This window comes from Homo sapiens, chromosome 15 (assembly GCF_000001405.40).
Source record: "Homo sapiens chromosome 15, GRCh38.p14 Primary Assembly".
NCBI classification, from domain to species: Eukaryota; Metazoa; Chordata; class Mammalia; order Primates; family Hominidae; genus Homo; species Homo sapiens.
This window is the reverse complement of record NC_000015.10, coordinates 63,074,827-63,095,566: the sequence shown is the minus strand read 5'-3', so window position 1 is coordinate 63,095,566 and position 20,740 is coordinate 63,074,827. Positions and strand designations below refer to the sequence as shown.

General features: G+C 45.5%; 3 annotated features.

Annotated features, from left to right (window-relative positions):
- Window positions 1,425–5,221: an enhancer, noted in NCBI's record as "VISTA enhancer hs2160". NCBI's record gives its function as "enhancer in: tail[7/8]" and the evidence as "EXISTENCE:transgenic organism evidence [ECO:0001131][PMID:17130149]".
- Window positions 15,464–16,139: an enhancer, noted in NCBI's record as "H3K27ac-H3K4me1 hESC enhancer chr15:63371627-63372302 (GRCh37/hg19 assembly coordinates)". NCBI's record gives its function as "activates a minimal SCP1, AML or CMV promoter by ChIP-STARR-seq in naive H9 embryonic stem cells {active_cell/tissue: H9 hESC(naive)}" and the evidence as "EXISTENCE:reporter gene assay evidence [ECO:0000049][PMID:30033119]".
- Window positions 16,140–16,817: an enhancer, noted in NCBI's record as "H3K27ac-H3K4me1 hESC enhancer chr15:63370949-63371626 (GRCh37/hg19 assembly coordinates)". NCBI's record gives its function as "activates a minimal SCP1, AML or CMV promoter by ChIP-STARR-seq in naive H9 embryonic stem cells {active_cell/tissue: H9 hESC(naive)}" and the evidence as "EXISTENCE:reporter gene assay evidence [ECO:0000049][PMID:30033119]".

Here is a 20,740-nt window from a genome sequence, read left to right as displayed (position 1 = left end):
AACAAACGGGCCAGGCACGGTGGCTCACACCTGTAATCCCGGCACTTTGGGAGGCCGAGGTGGGCGGAACACCTGAGATCAGGAGTTGGAGACCAGCCTGACCAATATAGTGAAACCCCATCTCTACTAAAAATACAAAATTAGCCGGGCCTGGTGTCACACACCTGTAATCCCAGCTACTTGGGAGGCTGAGGCAGGAGAATTGTTTGAACCTGGGAGGTGGAGGTTGCAGTATGCCGAGATTGCACCATTGCACTCCAGCCTGGGCAACGAGCAAAACGCTGTTTCAAAAAATAAAAATAATGCTACGACAAGTGGCTTCTTAAATATAGCTTTTTGCCTTTGTTGAAAACCAAAGTCTCCAGGATAGAATTATTAGCTCAAAGCTTAAAAACTCTTTAGAGTTCTTGCAAATATATTTCTATTGCTTTCCAAAAGGATCCCACAAATTTTAATGCCATTAACATATTTGATCTCATTGCTAACATTCCAGCATTGAGCAATTTATTATAAAATTTTACCAATTTAATAGGTATCAAATGCTGTCTCTTTTAAAATGCTATTTTTATTTCCACAAAGGAAAGACAGTTTTCAAGGGCTACTTTTTTAGAGGGAAAAGTTTTGTCACCAGAAAGATAAATCCAGGTAGCTGATAGTATCTTCATTTACTCTTTTGTCCATACCAAGGACGTAGGAGAGTGATTTGGCACTCAGCCTCCCCTTTAGAGGTTGAGAGCAGCTAGATCTGCCCCTTTAAACCATGACATCCAGGTCTATGGTATGCAGCAGAGTGGATACTACTGAAATAGTTTACACATTCTTGCTGGAACTTACTAATACAGTTTCAGTTTTACTGAACTTCTAAACCAGCAACATAAGTTAAGGATCCAGGAATATTAGATTGGCAACATGCAAATTGACTATCATCTAACAACTGGCATCTAGACTCAGTCAGAAGGAGTTTTCAGGCAAACAGAATCTGGTGTGATGTTTATAGCTGTGTAGCGGGAGCCAGGCCTCTTAGCTTTGCTATTTGTGTCAGTTCCCAAGGGAACTTAAGTGGCAAAAGCCCACTTCAATTTTCTCAGTTTTAGGTTGCCCATTTGCCTGAAAGAAGTGATGTGAAACTTGTGAACCAGAATCTTGGGAATATTCTGAGAATCTCAGATGGAAGGGACCATTTTAATTATGAAATCTTTTTTCATTAAAAAAAAAAATCAGGTAACCCTTTCCCCATTTCACATTTCTGGTTCAGGTACTCAATAAAATGCAAATAGAATGACAGAATTTACTTTGATGAGCTCAAAATCAGTAGCAAAATATAAATCAAGATGCCTTATTAATAAAAAAGTTAAAGATTTGTTAAAAACAATAATGTAAACAGAGATGATTGTAGGTATTTAGGATGTTTAATTGTGTCCCATCCTGCCTTGCCCTTTACATATTTAGCATTTTTTTCTGATAGGAAAGTAAATTGTAGATTGGAAAAAAATCTTATTTTAAAAACAATTGCATGAAGCACATATTATTATGGTGTCTTCATTTTACAAATGAGGAAACAGACTTAAAGAGGCTGAGGGCCCCGAGGTCACACTGCTCAGGAGTGTGTCTCAGCTCCCTTATTCAAACTCTTCTGTTTCTAAGGGTTTACTCTTCTTGCATTTGAAATTGAGCAAAAGTTTAAATTCTTTTACCCAGGCTGCAGAATGGGTCTGGGAAAGACGGTAATGCTGTTGAGAGGCTCACGCATGCAGGTGCTGGGGAGAAGCCATTGGGTGGAGAATATGTGAACAGCAGGTGGCAGCAGTGTCTTTGGAGTGCGTGGTTGTCCCAGGCAGTCCCCGGAAAGCAAGGTCCATGCAATACCATGGAGCCCTGAACCTAATGCCTGACCTTTCATCTCTGACCTCCTGCTGAGCCAGGTGTACTACCTGCCACCTAGTAAGGTACAGTGTATCCCTGGGGAAGGAATTGGGGAGAATATTGGGAAACAGGTGACTTGGGAGTCATTTATAATTGAAAGGCTCCCATCTGGGTAACTGGTATAATGTGTGGTGGTGTGACTCTGGCGTGTTACTTAGCTTCTCTGTTCTTCAATATCCTTTCTGTAAAATGGGGATAATGGCCATCTGCCTCTCAGGATCACTGAGATGATTAAGGGAATGTGATATCTACAAAGCCCTTGGAACAGCCCAGTACTGGGCGCACACTATGTGTACGTTACCTATTATTAATATTCTTTGTTGAAGGCTTTATCGTTTGCAGTGGACTTTCATACCTATCATTTCATTCCATCCTCCCACCATATTTTAAGATGCAAATATTACACCCATTTAATATAATAGAGGCGGACACCGGTTGAGCCAGAGAAAGTACAAATTAGCACGAGCTTTGAAGTCAGACAGATTGGAAGTCAGGCTCATTAGAGTTGTGGGATTTGTGCAAGTTACTTAATGCTTTGGAGCCTCAGTTTCTTTCTAAATGAGTGATAATATTACCTATCTTGTGGGTTTATGACAACATACATGAAGTTTAAAACAACATACATGGTTTAAAACAATATATATGAAGCCATCTGGTGTGGTTCCTCTTCCATAGTGAACACTTAAAATTATTCAAGGGATGTTTTAAAACATCAAAAAGTATTTAGACAGGCACGGTGGCTCATGCCGGTAATCCCAGCACTTTGGGAGGCCGAGGCAGGCGGATCGCCTGAGGTCAGGAGTTCGAGACCAGCCTGGCCAACATGGTGAAACCCCATCTCTACTAAAAATACAAAAATTAGCCAGGTGTGGTGGCGCATGCCTGTAATCCCAGCTACTCGGGAGGCTGAGGCAGGAAAATCGCTTGAACCCGCGAGGTGGAGGTTGCAGCGAGCTGAGATCGCGCCACTGCACTCCAGCCTGGCGACAAAGCGAGACTCCATCTCAAAATAAATAAATAAATACAAAGTATTTAAAAAGGCAAGTAAATTTACTTACAATCCACCACCTAGAAATAACCTTGTTATTACTATGATGTGTTTTTTTCCCCTAGTATTTGTAAGTGATATGGCCGAGCTCCCATCACATATGTGTAAGTCACTCGACCAAGGTGCCAAAGCTAAGACAGGGGCAGAGCTGGGCTCACACACCAGGCAGGGCTGCCTCCAGGGCCAGGTTCTTCTGTGTAGCTACTTCTCCACACTTCCTCAATCAAGTTAAGGATTAAATGTCTTTTGAGAAACTGATGAAAAAATATTTCAAGTGTTTCAAGTTTGAAAATATACACTTACATTCAAAAGCATGTAAAGAAACCAGAGGTACCTAAGACAATCTTATCATATAGTTCAAGGCTGGAATTCTGCCCAGAAGGTAGGGTTTCACTTGCAAAACATGAATTTCTACAGATTTTTGTTTGGCCAACATTTTCACTGTTAAAACATTACTGTTCAAGCTGTTACAACTACAACAAGTAAATTTGGAAAAATCAGTGAACTAATCATTTGACAAATGGATTAAATTGAGTGAATTAATGATTCAGCAGATTGGGTCTTTGGGTGCACTGATTTTTTGGCAAATTGGCTCGCATCTATTAACATGGAGTAGTGCTCAATGTATGTGCTTGTTGAATTAATTAACACATGAATGAATGAGTGCATTGAATCTTGCCATAAATAAAATGATCTTTCCCCCCGAAGGTCAATGACTTTACATGATGTCAGCATTTTAAGAGCCCCAAAAGCTTCTTGAGACAGATATTCTGATTCTAGGGTCACGGCTACTCACCATGTGTGCATCCCAACTCCAAATCCACACTCATTGCCTGGTTGGCTCCTCAGTGAGAGCTGGTGCTTCCCTGTTGGTTCTTAGGGTTGAAGCCCGCTCACTATGGGTCTTGGAGTCAGAAGACCCAGGTTTGAATGTCACTGGGCTTGTCCACATCTTAGCCACGGAACACTGGCCAAGCCAGTGCACCCTGGAACCGTGTTGTCACTGATTACATGGGGACAGTGCTGATGTCTGTCCTGCTTTGTTCCCAGCATCACTGTCACTATCAAATAAAATGGAAATGCTCTCTGGGAGCCGGAAAGTGCTAGGTGAATTTTAGTTCTTTATGAGTTCATTATTATGAAAACCACAGTGGCCATGTGTGTGCTCTGTCATGGAGGGAGTAGGAAGGCTGGGGACGGGTCTCAGGGAAGGAGGGCCATGCCTGCTCGCTGGTAGAGGGTCACTACTCACCTTTGCTCTTTGGTCTCTGCCTTTCTGGTCACTGACACGCATGATAGAAGGGCACACACACCTATTAAACTGCTTCCCCCAGGTCATCTGCCAGTGAGGAGCTGGCAAACCCCAGTGGCCCTACAAACGCCTCCTCACTGGCTGCTTCAGGCTGAGGTCATTTGCCCGGAGCCCCTGGGGTGGGGTGAGAGGGAAGCCGGGGTCCTCCCAGTCACCTTGGGCCCTGTGCGGCCAGGCTGGGTGGCATCCTCCTCCGTCTGGCCTCTCTGCTCCCAGCTCTGAACGCAGCCTGAGAGAGGGCAGAAGGGGTGTCTGCTGGGCACCTTTGCTGCCTCACAGCCAAAGAAACCTGGCTGGGGAGGGCCGGGCAGGGAGGGCACACAGCTGGGCATGACAGGGAGGGCGTGTAATGGCGTAAGCTTGGGAACAGGATCAAAGACAAAGAACGAGGGGGCAAGAGGTGTCTGGAGAACGCAATTTTTTCCTCCTCCCTTTTCTCAAGTGTAAGAGTAAAATCATTAAAGAAAATAATGCGCCCTTCAAAGGCGAATTGGCAATCAGTGTTGAATTTTAGTGCTGGAGTGGGTGACAGCACATCCCAGCTGCAGTCAGGAGACCTACCGCTGCTGAGTGACGCTGCACCAGCCACCCGCCATCAGCCACCAGCCCCCAGCCAAGCGGTCATTTACCACCCACTTGGTCTGGCTCACTTTCTGTTTCCTGAGTTATATTAGCTCTAGTGGAGACCTACCATAACAGTTCATCACGCTTGAAAGGTGCTTCTTCCTCCCAGAGAACTTCACGTCCACCCTCTAAAAGCTCATCTGTCTGAACAGCCCTTCAGGGTTAAAAGCACCTGTGCTCAGATGGACTCTGAATTGGAAGGTTCTGAGGTTCCATCTAATCCTGTTATTACCCAGACTTCAGCTGGGCTCTCATTTCACCTCTCAGAGATTTGGTTCAATTTAGCCTGGACCCCAATTCCAGGGCCAGTTTAAGACCATTACAGGCCCCAGGGTCTTTTAATTATGGAGTCCGCATTCCACATAATATCAAACACATTAGAATATACCCATATTTCACATTGAGTATCACATTTTTGCTGTAGAAAGGATCAAAAGGACTTTATTAATCTTGCTTTTGAAATTATAGCTGCTCATTGACTACATGTCTGGCTATGTTCTCCAGGCTGGCATTGTGCATGCACAGTACATTTTATGGAGGGAGAAAATAAAACCTTAGCGTTATTTTCAAACAGAGAATCCAGAAACACTAAATTTAAACATGAATGAATTGACGTTGTTTGTTTTATAGACATTTAATTAAAATGTATTCCTTTCAATTTCATACTTTTCCTTTTATATTTTAGATTCAATAATTTTTTTTTTTTGGCATGTCACGTATTTTCACAGGCCTTTGAAAAAAGCTCATTGGCCAGAGGCCCTGTCCCCGGGGCCCTGCAGACCAGATGGCTCTGCTGGTGTTTGCTGAGAGCCCTTCCCAAGATTTTGCCCCACCCCTCACCTCATTCCCAGCATCTTTCTGATCCCCTGCTCCCTGTTCCTGTGTGTCTATCTGCCTGTGTTTCAGTTTCCACTGGTATCAAAACTGACCGCAAAGCCCAGCTCCTTCACTGTTACATGGACATTTCATGAGGTTGGTACCTGGACACATTCTGAGGACCATGGAGAACTGTCACTTACATACCTTGTAAGCTCCTGCCATCTGCTTGGCTCCACCCTTTCCCTCCCAGTGCCCACCCTCTCTCACTCCACATCCTGCCAAGGGCAGCTCTCCAGGGAGCCTGCATCACATCAACCACTTCCCTTGTCTGGCCGCTTCTCTTTCAAACAGCCAGGAATGCCTGCAGTCCCTATCCCCCTTGAATCTGCAGAGCAACATTGCTCCATCTCTACACAAGCATTATCCGATGACTTCATCCCTTCCAGAGCTTCCTGGGCAGGAGCTGCTGCTGGACACTTCCCAGGATGAGGATCTCACCGTCTCTCAGGACAAGGCTTTTGCTTGCTTTTGGCCTGTTCTCACCATTAAAAAGGAATAAGATGAGGCCAGATGTGTGGCTCCTGCCTGTAATCTCAGCACCTTGGAAGGCCAAGGTGGGAGGGTTGCTCCAGCTCAGCAGTTTGAGACCAGCCTGGGCAACACAGGGAGACCCCATCTTTACAAATACTACTACTACCAGCACTACTACTATTACTACTACTACTTGTAAAATTAGTTGGGCGTAGTGGTGCATACTTGTAGTCCCAGCTACTCAGCCATCTGGATCGCTTGAGCCTGGGAGACTTGAGGCTGCAGTGAGCCATGACTGTGCCACTGCACTGCGGCCTGGGCAATAGAGAGATACCTTGTCTCAAAAAAAAAAAAAAAAAAAGAAGTAATAAGATGAATGTGAATTCTGGCTTTATTTCAGCTGCTCCTGATCCTGCCTCTGGGCTCCTTTGACCTTCAGCCTTCCCCCTGAGAGACAGAGCTGTGTCTCCATGGGACAACTGAGGAGCCCTGTAGTAAAGCCCCAGCTGAGATCCAGCCTCTTGACTTGCAGTCCTGGGCTTTCTCAAGGTCCTATTTTCTCCCTGACTGCCTTTTATTATTCGGCTTTCTTCAGGGAAGAAATGCACTGCACTGTGAATTTCCTTCAGCAAACAGAAGCTCTCTGCTTGTTGAAGTAAACAGAGCTGTGGAGGGTGGGGGGCGGGGAGGGGCCGGGGTGGGAACAGGGCCAGCTTCCCCACTAGCCACAGGAGGCACAGTGCCCAAGGCCCACAATAGGACCCATGGAAATGATGCGATTTCTTTTACAATCGGGAGAAAAAAATAACTTTTAGGTCAAATAAAATGTTTTAACATGTAATACAAATATATTTGTCTTCTTACCAATGCAGATGTAAAGTATGATTTTTAATTTTTTTTTCATAAAGTGGCCCATGAAGGCAACAGTACGCAGGGTCCAGGTCCACACAGTGATAATATGGCCCTGGTGGGCAAGGGTCTCTGGACTGAAATTTATGTGTGACAGTCCATTTAATGGCACAGTTGTGCTACTGAGGGGACAGAGACCTGGCACCTCCTGGTCTATGAGCTACCATCACCCCCCCAACACACACACACCCAGATGAACCAGTGAAAGAATGACAAGGCTGGTTCTGTTGGCGTGGTCAGCGTGTGTTGGGTCCAAATGCCCAATCCTTTTGGGGGATTTTTCTTTTTTTTTCTTTCCTTTTCTTTTTTTTTTGAGACAGAGTCTCGCTCTGTCACCCAGGCTGGAATGCTGTGGCGAGATCTCAGCTCACTGTAACCTCTGTCTCCTAGGTTCAAGTGATTCTCCTGCCTCAGCCTCCTGATTAGCTGGGATTACAGGCATGTGCCACCACGCCTGGCTAATTTTTGTATTTTTAGTAGAGACGGGGTTTCACTATGTTGGCCAGGCTGGTCTCAAACTTCTGACCTCAGGTGATCCACCCACCTTGGCCTCCTAAAATGCTGGGATTACAGGCGTGAGCCACCGTGTCTGGCCTTTTTTGGGGGATTTTTCTTAAGAGGTGACACCATGCAGAGTATGTAGTAGTTGTTTTTCTTCCTGAAAAAGGAAACAGCATAAAACTTAGCCCTGGTTTAGGATACGATCCACTGTCGTTCTTTTTTTTTTTTTTTTTGGAGACGGAGTCTTGCTCTGTCGCCCAGGCTGGAGTGCAGTGGTGCTATCTTGGCTCACTGCAAGCTCTGCCTCCCGGGTTCACGCCATTCTCCTGCCTCAGCCTCCCAAGTAGCTGGGACTACAGGCGCCCGCCACCACGCCCGGCTAATTTTTATAAACATCAATACATATAAACATCAGTAGTGTGTATCAGAGATAGAGGTGGCAGCCATCAGTGCTTACGCCCTCTGGCATATAGGAGCTCCTCTCTCTTCTTTTGGATGAGCTGGTCCCATCTACCAAGAATCTGTCTTTGTAGTTCTGCCCCCACTTCCCACCCCTATCAGCCATGGGGAGACTGTAGCATAAGGGGAAATGCTCTGGGTGTGGTGTCAGGGACCCTGGCGTGTAACGTGAACCCTGCTGCCCCTCAGCTGCAGACCTCGGGTAACCTGCTTCACCAAGTGCAGTCTGGGCTTCAGTTCTACATCTGGAAAATGAGGTCTCCCTTTCCATTCTAGCATCTCTGATTTTATGACTCTGGGAAAATTCAAAGTTTCTTCACATCAGGAAAAGATTAGGGATTCTTTGTTTAAAGGTATTTCATAACATACACTCCATTAAGCTATGAAAACAGGGAGTTTGAAAGCTTCACTATCGACTGAGGTGGGCAGGCAGAGTAAAATCCTGTCGCCTTCCATGAACTCCCCTCATTTCACATCCTGTCCATTGAATGGACTTTAAAATTGCTCTCAGCAATGCAGAGTGCAGCTAGAAGGCTCACATGCTGCTATTGACCCGGGAATTCTTAGGCATTACCCTGCTGCGACACTCAAGGCTCATATTGGTGAGACCAACAAAATCTCTCTGGCAAATCCGGGAAAATCTAGAATTCCATAGAACCAGGGGAATCACATTGGATCAGATTTCACCAGCTTTCTCTACTTGAAAATTCTTAGGCTGGCAACCCAGCCCAAGTGTACTTTGCTTGAAGTTGATCAGCTACAAAACCGTAAGTTTGGCGAGAGAGTACATGTGGGGATATGAGGTGCAGGGGGCAAAATGACAATCACACATTTACCAATAAACTTGGGGGTTGGGGAGAATGGGAGAAAAATCACTTCTGGAATTCCCATCCTTGCCTGTTTACTCCTCCTACTCATTGCAGTATGGAAACCATTTAGCTGCAGACAAATGATTTCCTGGCATATTCTTGGGACTATTCCAGTAAATCATGTCCTTCTCTACCCCTGGGAAAAGTCTCTCCCTTGCTTGGGTCATAACTCAAAACTACATCTTCGAGATACTTGCTTTCAGTCTGCCTCCAGCAAGCTGAGTCTCTGAGATTAAGTATGGCATGCACCAGTGCCGATAGGCCTGAGCCCAAAGAACGACCCATAGTAAAAGACAAACTAGGCCAGGCACTGTGGCTGATGCCTGTAATCCCAGCACTTTGGGAGGCCAAGGCAGGAGGATCACTTGAGATCAGGAGTTCAAGACTAGCCTGGGCAACATGGAGAAACCCTGTTTCTACAAAAAATACAAAAATTTATCTAGGCATGGTGGCATGCACCTGTAGTCCCAGCTACTCAGGAGGCTGAGGTGGGGGAATCACTTAAGCCCAGGAGGTCCAGGTTGCAGTGAGTTATGATGGCACCACTGCACTCCAGCCTGGGCAACAGAGCAAGAGCCTGTCTCAAAACAAAACGAAACAAAACAAAAAACAAAAACAAAATCAAAAGACAAGATAAAAAGGAGATTTCTCTAGGGTAACACAGTCCCTGCTTCTGACAAACCTGTCCTCCAAAACCAGAAGAGACAACATTTTCATTTGTCTAACCTAAAATATTTTAAACAGAAATACTAAAAATAGGATTTTATTAATAAGACTTCTATTTATACATAAACTCTTTGGGAATCTATTTATCTCTCTAAGCGATGGTTTCTATTAAAATGAGATTATATCTAGTGATTTTGTAAAAAAATTACCAAAACAAGTTGATGGGATAAATACAGGAGTACAGATAGCTCCCCCTCAGAGTCAACAAACTTTTTCGGTAAAGGGCCAGATAGCAAATATCTTAAACTTTGTGGGCCATGAGGTCTCTGTCACAACTTCTTAACTCTGTTATCATAGCACCAAAGCAGCCACAGACACTGCTTAAGTGAATAAATGCGGCTATGTTCCAATAAAACTTTATTTGTAAACACTGAAATTTGAATTTCATATAATCTTCACATATCATAAACGATTATTCCTCTTTTGAGTTTTTTTTTTCAACCACTAAAAAAATTAAAAAGCCATTCTTAGCTCTCAGGTTGTACAAAAACAGGTGATGGGCTGAATTTTGCCCATAGACCATAGTTTGCCAAATTCCGATTTAGAGGTTTCCCAGGGCAAAAACGCAAAGAAGTTAAAGTTTGTTTTTTGGTTAATGTAACCTTTCCCTACTGGCACTGGCATTTTAAAATAAGACAAGTGGGTAAGGAAAATGAAAGTCAAAGGAATAAGTTATTAATAGAGGAATTTCAAAAGAGTTGAAAATATTTTGGAGATGGTCCCTCATCTGACACCTTCTAAACAACTACTAACTTTACCTTCAGGTGAAATGAGTTTCACCTCCATCAAGTTCAGTAGACTTCTATTGACCTCTGTTATATTCCAGGAACACACTAAGTGCAAAGATGATGCAAAAATAGCCTCTGCCCTCTGAGAGGGACAACTGTTGTCAAACAATGAAAGATCCTTTCCATTTAGTGGTGGGATTGATTAATTCATTGAACAAACATTGATTGAGCATGCCAGGCCCTGGGTCTGGTGCTACCCATTTCAAGGTAAATAAGTTCTGAAGATGTTTATGGTAAGCATCGTCCTTCCTCACTATTACCTTGTTCTTTTTTGCTTGAGGGAAAAGAAGAGGCCCAGAGGTGTCTTGCCCAGGTGGAAGAGTAAAGAGGAGACCAAAGTGTGACTACTCTTCCTTAGCAGGGCTGGAGTCAGGTGAAGTGACTAGCTTGCAAAATTTAAGAAGGGGCTGGGTGCGGTGGCCAACACCTGTAATCTTAGCAGTTTGGGAGGCTGAGGCAGAAAGATCACTTGAGGCCAGGAGTTTGAGACCAGCCTGGGCAACATAGTGAGACCCTGTTTCTACGAAAAATAAATTAAAATTAGCTGGGTGTGGTGGCACCTGCCTGTAGTCCCAGCTACTCAGGAGGCTGAGGCGGGAGGGAGGATTGCTTGGGTCTAGGAGTTGGAGGCTGCAGTGAGCTACAATCATATTACTGCACTGTCCCCTGGGTGACAGAGCAAGATCCCATCTCTTAAAAAGTAAAATAAAAAATAAAAAAATTTGGCTGGGCATGGTGGCTCACGCCTGTAATCCCAGCACTTTGGGAGGCCAAGGCAGGCAGATCACGAGGTCAGGAGATCGAGACCCCGTGGCTAACACGGTGAAACCCCGTCTCTACTAAAAATACAAAAAAATTAGCCGGGCATGGTGGCAGGTGCCTGTAGTCCCAGCTACTCAGGAGGCTGAGGCAGGAGAATGGCGTGAACCCGGAAGGCGGAGCTTGCAGTGAGCGAAGATCGCACCACCGCACTCCAGCCTGGGCAACATAGCAAGATTCCGTCTCAAAAAAAAAAAAAAAAAATTTAAGGAGGCATTCATATGCAAGTACTTTTATGACTTGAGAGTAAGCACCTCCTTAAATTTTGTACCCTAGCATGCCCCACTTGTCACCTCCTAGTCCGGCCTGTGCGTTGGCTCCCGCTAAGAACGCTGTGGTCCCGGGAGGACTTGGGCCTCCAGTTTCATTGTAGAGCCCACAGACTCCTTCCTCCCTCCTCTCTCCCTCCCCAGCAGCCCTGCTATGCACACCCCTCCTTCTTTCAGCCAGAGAGAGAGATGACCTCAAATAGGAGGCGCTGTCTCAGACTCATCAGGGCCTCCAGATCTCACTCTCCGCCCACTCACCTGGCTCCAAGGAATCCCTGCTGGAGTGGGCATTTGTGGGTTTTGGACACCTAGTGCTCATGTCCCCTTCCTAAGATGCCCCGATTTTCGAATGCAGAATTGAGGAATGACCTCTTTTTCACTGTACACAGTCTTATGGAACTTCTCCCGGGGCCTTACCGTCCCAGGGCTGAGGCTGGAGTGAAGCCCGGTGCCTGGCCATTGGTGCTCCCTTCCAGGGCTGGGAATCCTGAGCTGAATGAACTGGTTTCTTTTTCTTGCCACCAACCACCGTGACACCTACAGTCCCTCTGAATAATGCCCATGTTACACACCACATCATATCTCAGAGCCCTGCTACTCAAAGTGTGGCCCACAGGCCAGCAGCACCGGCATCACCCAGAGCTGGCAAGAAACGCAGAGGCTGGAGCCAGCCCCCACCACAACAGAATCTGCATCTGGACAAGATCACTGACGGGCTCCTGCGCTCATTAAAGTGTGGGGAGTGCCTCTCTACACCTTTCCTCACCCTCCCACACCGTTTCGCAGCAACAGGGGCCTGGGGAAGGGGCCTGTCTTCACGTGCATGAGTTGCTGAAACCGAGGGAGGCTTGCGTTTCCAGATGACCTCATTCCCCGAGGACTCCTCAGCTATAGGCTTCTCAGACGCACTCACCTGATGCATAGTGGATGGCTGACTGTAAAATAGGAAAAATTGGGCAATGATTTCAGAAAATAATGACATTTAAACAAACCTCTCTCCAGAGAAGCCCCTCCCCTTCCAAGGTGTGGGGCAATGGAGGCCGGAGACTCCCGAGGTTGGTTCATAGGGTAAAGCTTCGCTACAAGTCCCTCAAGCTGAGATGGTGGTGGTTGTGGTTCCTTTTCCCTAGAGAAGGGACCTACTCTATCTTCTTTTTAGGCGGATCAGGAGTGAAGAAAGGGCATGAATAACTCTAATATTTATAGGTAATCTGCCTTGTAGCAGGCCTCAGACATGTTTTACCTTTTATTCTTTTTTATTTATTTGTTTGTTTATTTACTTATTTAAATAGAGACAGGGTCTCATTCCATCACCCAGGCTGGAATGCAGTGGTGCAATCGTGGCTCACTGCACCCTTGACCTCCTGGGCTCAGGCAATCCTCCCGCCTCAGCTTCCCAAGTAGCTGGCACTACAGGTACATGCCACCATGCCTGGTTATTTATTTATTTTTGTAGAGATGAGGTCTCACTACGTTGCCCAGGCTTGTCTTCAACTCCTGGGTTCAGTGATCTTCCTGCCTCGATCTCCCTGTGCTGGGATTATAGATGTGAGTCATCACACCTGGCCTTTTTTCTTTCTTTCTTTTTCTTTTTTTTTTTTTTTAGAGAGTTGCTCTGGGGATCAGAGCAACTGTCACCCAGGCTGGAATGCAGTGGCGAGATCATAGCTCATTGTAGTCTCCAACTCCTGGGCTCAAGTGATCTTTCCACCTCAGGCTCCAAGTAGCTAGGACTACAGGGATGTACAACCACACCTGGCTAATTAAAACAACTTTTTTTTTTTTTTTTTTTTTTTGTAGAGACAGGGTCTTGCTTATGGCCCAGGCTGGTCTTGAACTCCTGGCCTCAAGCACTCCTCCCATGTCGGCCTTCCAAGTATCTGGGATAGCTTTTGTTCTTTAACACAACTATAAGGCGCAGGCTCTTACAGAGGAGGAAACTGACATTCAGAGAGGCTGAGTAAACTGCAATTCAGAAAGGCTGAGTAACTTGCTTCAAATCCCCCAGTTGTTAACTGGGAAGAACTAAGGATTGAACTTGGGTTTTTCTCAGTGTTGCAGATTCACAAAAGTACCTGCAACAAAGCACATGCAGTATAAAAGTGGTCTGCATGTCTTCATACGATCAATGGTGGTGGTGATGCTGATGGCTCTGAGTGTGGGGAAAGGTGGGGTGGTGGCCTTGGGAGAGTCAAGGACACAGACCAGGGGCTTGTGGAGGGCTCACCTCTCTGTGGTGGTGAGCTATAAGACCGACGAGATGTGCAGCTAGCATAAGACATCATCCTTTGCACCAAAGGGATTTGTAACTCAAGATAAAACATCACTAAACTATGAAACAAATGGAAATAAGACTACATACATTCAGATTTTTCCAATAATGACTTTGTCAATGCCTTTTCTTTTTTGAGACAGGGTCTCGCTCTGTTGCCCGCCCAGGTTGGAGTGCAGCGGTGTGATCACGGCTCACCGCAGCCTCGACTTCCTAGGTTCAATTGATCCTAGGCTCATTTCAGCCTCCAAAGTAGCTGGGACCACAGGCGTGTGCCACCACACCCAGCTAATTTTTTATATTTTTTTTGTAGAGATGGGGTTTTGCCATGTTGCCCAGGCTGATGTTAAACTCCTTGGCTCAAGTGATCCTCCTGCCTCGGCCTCCCTAAGTGCTGGGATTACAGGCATGAGCCACTATACTTAGCCAATGCCTTTTTTTGAAATATAAAATAACAAAATTCCGTCGCTGTGTCTCATTCTTTTGGGTGCTATGCTTTTGTCTATGCACGCAGTACAAACCCTCGTAGGATAATCCAGCTCTAATGAGTGGGGAGCTGACCTCCTGATTCCTTTTAATCCCAGATCTGAGGCCAAGGGATGTTTGCTCAGCTAGTGGAGGTGGCAGTGACTCCTCCACCTGGAGCAGCAATGGTGTGCACCATTGTTAGGGAGGCGAGTAGGCTAAAAACTCACGTAGTCACTTCTCTAAGGTTAATTTCTGGAGTGCCCGCTATCCTCATTCCTGGGCTCTCAGTCAAGAATGTAATTGAAGCCCCAGGACAATGGAGTGTGAAAGGAAAGATGTTCCCTGGTGTCAGATGCCCTGGCCAGCCAGAACCAAAAGCATGGAGTAGACGCTTGGCTTTTATTCCTGGTGTTGGCTGGGTCCCTGTGTCCTGCCCTATTCCTGAAATCCTCTTTAGGCAAAAGCCAAAGCTAACTAGGAAGCTCCAGCTTGGGCCTCCTCTGGCATCGCCAGGACCAGCTGTGACAGAACAGCTTGCTTCCTTCTGCCAACCCCCTTGTTTAAAGGTTAAACATACAAAGGCAGGAGCCGCAAGCCCAACAGAGGGTACTGCAAAGCAGCCCCTCAGATGCTAACGATTTCACCAGACGACCAGGATATTATTATTGTCTGAACTCAACTTCTAAGTGCCCTAGGAAACCTTTTAGTGGCTGAGAGTACGATCACCAAGGAGGTGAGCTAGGTTTTCACAGTGTCATTGAGAAGTCCCCAGGAAACCTAACCCCAGTGGCAAACCCCAGTGTGCCCTGGGGAGACACAGGACCTGGGCACCTCTTCTGGATGCCACTGGGCAGGCACTTCCTGGAGAGCTGATGAGGGTCAGTCATTGGGGTCTACTCGAGGCCCCTCCTCCCACACTGGAGAGGGGCTGTTCTTACTGCTCACCAATGCCGGACTTTAGTCCTGACGGGCGGTGAAGTGTGCTTCCATCAGATTTCAGGGGAAGATCCAGCTGGGCTATCAGGCTAACTCGCCACTGGCCCTGACCCATCCCGATGAATCATCCTGGTGAAATGAACATCAGAGGCAGCCTTGAAGGAGAAAATGACAGCACACTAAGGCAGCCTGATAGGTGAGTAGGGAAGAGGTGAGGGGCGGCCTTGTCTTTGAATCCTGGGGAGCGTGACTTCTACGGGCTGATTGCCGGGATCTAAGACTATTTAAAGAACAGGGCAATAGAAGTTGTCTATCACTGAGAGTTTGCTATGCCAGGCACCATACTAAAACTTTTCATGCAGTATCTTAGTTATTCATGCCCTGAACGTTATGATGTTGGGTACTATTATTATTATCCCCATTTTGCAGATGGGGAAATAATTGCAGAGAAGTTGAGCAGCTTACTTTAAGTCACACAACCAGTACATGGCAGAGGTGGCTGTTAAATTCTGGTCTAATTTCGAAGGCTGGGATTGTACATACTATCTAGGCTGCCTCTTTAGCAGGGCAGTTAAGTTTTCTATATGGCTGCTTCCTTCTTCTGTCACTGTTCATCATCCAGTAATTAAGGGTCTTCCCAGAACTGAGGCCCGAGGCAGTGCCTCTAAGCCCACACACCCATCATTCACTTTTATCAACTCAGGTCTAGACAAGGGGTACAAGAAAGAGCCGGGTGGCTGCGGTGAAGGCATGTCTTAAAGCTCAAGTTTGTGTGTTTTTGTTGGGGGAGCAGCACAGATGAGGGAGCGGGAAAGGGATAACGTGTGGAACTAGATTTCTTTTCCTTTCTTCTTTTTTTTTTTTTGAGGTGGAGTTTCGCTCTTGTTGCCCAGGCTGGAGTGCAGTGTCTCGATCTCGGCTCACTGCAACCTCTGCCTCCCAGGTTCAAGCGATTCTCCTGACTCAGCCTCCTGATTAGCTGGGATTACAGGCATGTGCCACCACGCCCGGCTAATTTTGTATTTTTAGTAGAGAAGGGGCTTCTCCATGTTGGTCAGGCCGACAGGCCAACCTCAGGTGATCCACCTGCCTTGGCCTCCCAAAGTGCTGGGATTACAGGCGTGAGCCACTGCACCCGGCCGGAACTAGATTTCTTAAAGGCTTTACCACACCAGTTTGGGAAAAGTTGTTTTGCTTCTCTTTTAAGAACCTGAGGCCTGGAAATCAAAAAAGGGCTCTCCAGGCTGGAGTCCAGGCCGGAGCAGGAATCACCACATAGTTAAGAAACAACTTAACACTATATTTAGGGTATGTCTGTGCTTAAATGAAATAGTTTTTTTTAAGTGTATGTTTTCATTTCTTACATGTCAGAAAATATCTGTATTACAAAAAAATCTCCCATCAGTCCTAGTTGTGAGAACAAAAAATTAGAAAAACCCAGTGATCAAAAAGAGGAGAACAAATTATGGCACATTAACCAGAAGACTAGGTGAAGCAACACAGGAAGATGTTTATGCAAAGTTTTTTGAATAAAAACCAAAATTTTGAATAAAAAGCCTTCCATAAACACACAGGCAAAACATATGGAAAATAAGTTTTTTTTTTTCCCAGTGGTGACCTTTTTTTTCCTTCATAGTTTTTCTCTATTGTTTTTATAATGCTTTGTGACAAATAAAAAATGTACACAATTATATGATGGCATGTACCTCATGTGTACATTTTGCTTATTTCCCTTGCAACCCAGTATCCAAATGTGCCAAATAGCTTTTCATTTGAACTTGCAAATTGCTGCATGAAATTTAAATATTCCTTTAAATACACAACCCACATCAATTGCTGTTATACAAATTGGAATGAACTCTTCAGGTTCAAGTAGTTTTTATCCAAATTTAATTATCCATGTTTATCAGTAATACTTTATGTTTCTGGGGTAGGAACCAAAACAAGGAGAGCAAAAGGGGAGCTCCCAGCCCCCAGCAGTTTACATTAAAACAGCACTGAAACCCAATTCTCTCTCGCCCACTGCCCCACTACTCCTCTTTCTTGGAAGGCTGGAAAATGGGTTATCTGGAGACACCCAGGGCTCCTAGCCCATTAGGATTAGGGAGGCTCTGAACCTGGCTGAGGCTTCTGAAGTCTGGCAGCCTGAGCAGATCAGGTCGCTGTCTGCACTAGCGACTATAGCAATCAGCCTGGGGAGGCTTCTCGTGGGAGAAGTGAATGTTAGCGGCGATCCTCATCCATTTGCTTTACCAGAAACCAAAGGCTCCTTCAGACCTCCCTGGTGGAGTAGGAAGCTGATTTTATAGGCTCTAAGAGTATATGTGTGCATTCATTTATGCTCTTTCCTTTAAAGCTTAACAGATGCTCTAGGATTAAAGCAAAGGTATGGTAAGACCAAAAGTTTAAAAACAAACAAACAAACAAACAAACAAACAGAACACAACTACATGGCCTACAGCAAGGAATGAGAGGTGGGTAAGAGGGGAGGATTTTAAAATGAGAATTTGGTAGAAAAAAGCTACAATTATGAACAAAAAATTTCGTAGCCAGAGTAAGTAGTAAAACCAAAGCATTTTTAAACTAGCAGAGCTCTTGTTTCTAAGATTTGAGAGGCCGGGGTGAGTGGTGATTTGCCTGTGGCTGGAGTACCCCTGAGAAAATTATAGAGCATGCCCAGGAGAGCCTTTTCTACTGGTTTTAGATGGTTAGAAATCTACCAGGAAGGGGGCATGACATCTGTTTCCATGCAGTCTTGTATCATTTACTGTCTATTTGCCATGTAATCATATCCTGTTTTATTATTTTTTAGTGCGTTTGTGCACATATTCAGTTGCTTCCATAGACTCCTTGAGGGCAAGACGTCTATTATACTTTGTCTGTATTGTCCTATAACCCCCAACCTTGAAAACAGACCAGGATTTGCCATCATGATGTTTGCTGGCTTCTCAGCCCCCAGCCCCACAGAGCATCTGCCAAGAGGAGCTGACTCTTCTACTCCTCCGGCCCATCTGAGCCCAAAATACAGTCCCCAAAATACTGTAAAACATTCTTAAATGGAAATACAATTTGTCTTGTAGGCAAAATTATGAATCTTAACTTTCATAATTTTAGTTACTAGAAGACAATATGGAAGCTCTGTGTCTGAGAGAAAGTGAGCAGAACAAGAGATTAGAGTAACAAAAAATTGTAGCCAGAAGGGAAGAACGAAAGCCAGAAAAAGGAGGCATGGCGGATAGGAAGTTTTCAAGTAGAGGGTTAACAACTGAAGAGAGATGAACAGTTTGGCCAGGATTTGAGCCTAGCAACTCTTTGTTGAGGCACATTTTCTTGACATTCCTATTCTTAGGCAAATTATTCTGCCTTTGCTCTTTTTAATTTCTCCGGAAGGTGCTAGGCAGACAGTCCCGGAGTGTTCTGGAAAGGAGTGCTTTGTGTGAAGATAGCAGGAAAACAAATCATGGGAATGACAGGCTTCGAGCTGAGTAACCCAGGGGTTAATCACTTCCCGCTGGCTCAGGCTTCTGAGATGCAGGTATGCTTTGGCCATTCCTAGGAAGCCAGCATCCCCTTCAAAAACAAAAGCCCCTACTGCCTGGGTGTGGGTTCCCATTTCTAATATTTACATCACTGGGCTTTGGGCAACTATACTTAATCCTTTTGGGAATAGTGATGGGGCTCACTTCAGATAAAGGCGTCCTTGACCACAGCACGATTCAAGCAGTTCCTTGGCAAGTGTTTCATTGTGAAGGGTGGTTTTCATAGAGGAAGTGGACTTTGGGGTGAGGTGGGGGAGTGGAGGTGCAGGATGTGGGCAGCCCATCGAATCCCAGCTCACCAGAAGGCCGAAGGGCTATATTATACCAGTGCAGGCATCTGGGAGTTTAACACTGGAGTCATGAGTCTAACCAAGAGTCCCACTGGAAAGGCAGCATTCCAAATCCTTTCTGAGTGTCTCTGGAGTTGAAAACAGACCAGGACTTACCATCATGATGTGTGCTGTCCCCTCTGACCCCATCCCCATGCAGCATCCGCCAAGAGGAGCCAACTCTTCTGCTCCTCCGGCCCCCCTGTGCCCAGCCGGCCCCTCCGGAGACACAACAACTGCTTCCCTGCCACAGACAAAGCATCTTTCACCTTCCCGGTCATTAGCTTCCCTCTGGAGACAGTGGATTCCACGGCTCCACAGGATCTGCCTCGTGGCTTCTCTAGAATAAATAAGGGCTGAACTGCCTTCATTTACATCCGATGCCAGGCCTAAGAGCAGTGTTCTGTTGGCTTCCATGAAGCAACAAATCCAAATGCAGTTTGAGAATGGAGTAACAGAAACTTACAACAGAGCCAGCCTTTAGCTTCCATGTGAGATTTGAATCTACTACTTTGAAACATTCTTTGCCTCCTGTGCGCAGGTGATTAACAACTCAAAAACAAACTTCGAAACTGTGACTTGAGCTTTCTTTCCGGGCCACTTGTGGGGTACCATGGCCTTGCAGTGAATATCCTCCCGGGCAGTGGTACTGGGGATTTTCATTTCAAAAGGAAAAAGTTACTTTCAGTTTCCCTAAGGACCTAATGCAGGTGAAAAAAAAAAGGATTGGGGCTAAGGAACAGAAGAGGGACTCTACACACATTGCCCCATTCGGTTCTCAGCCCTGAGGAAGTGAGTGGGCACGTGGAGAGGGGCAGTGAAACCACCTCCTTCAGGGATGGAGAAATCAACGCCCAGATGGCAACATTAACCTGGGCCGGTCTGTGAGCAGGGAGCGGATGCAAAACCAGTGCCTCTGGTTTCCAGGCCCCACGCTGCACTGCCCGCCTTGACGGGGGCTGGATGACTCGGAGCAAACCACTAAATCTTTCTAGGTCTCGTTTTTCTCTGTCCTCGATGATCTTAAGGCTCCTTCCAGTTCTGAATCAGCGTTTTCAGTTTAGGGCAACAGCCTTGGCAGGTCCTGATATGGCCTTGACTCGACCCTTGGTTCTCCATGGCTTTGGTAACAAATGGAAAGAAAACTCTCACAGGCAGCAGAAAGCAGCCTTTTCCTCAGGGTTGATGCCCATTTGTCAAAAATTTGGCAAAAGTTACATTCATATTAGTGAACTCTCAACATAGTTTCATTCATTGTTTGACACACAAAATTTATGACATCTGTTGGAGGAATGTAGCTCTGAAAACCCTCAATGTCAAAAAGTATATATAATGGAAGGAACACTTCTTGTACTGCCCAACATTTCTATTTTCTTTCCAAACCTTTGTCTCCAATTCTGGAAATGATGGCTCCCTGAACGCCCTAGTGCTTTTTGTTTTGATTGGAGAATTCGGATTTTTTTTCTCCCTGTATATATATCTGACTGTAGATTTAAAAAAAAAACCAGCTACAAATAGTGTTGACAAGTTGAAAAAATGGTTCACACACATTCAAATACTTGAGTAAGACAGATATCTATATCTATATCTATATAATTT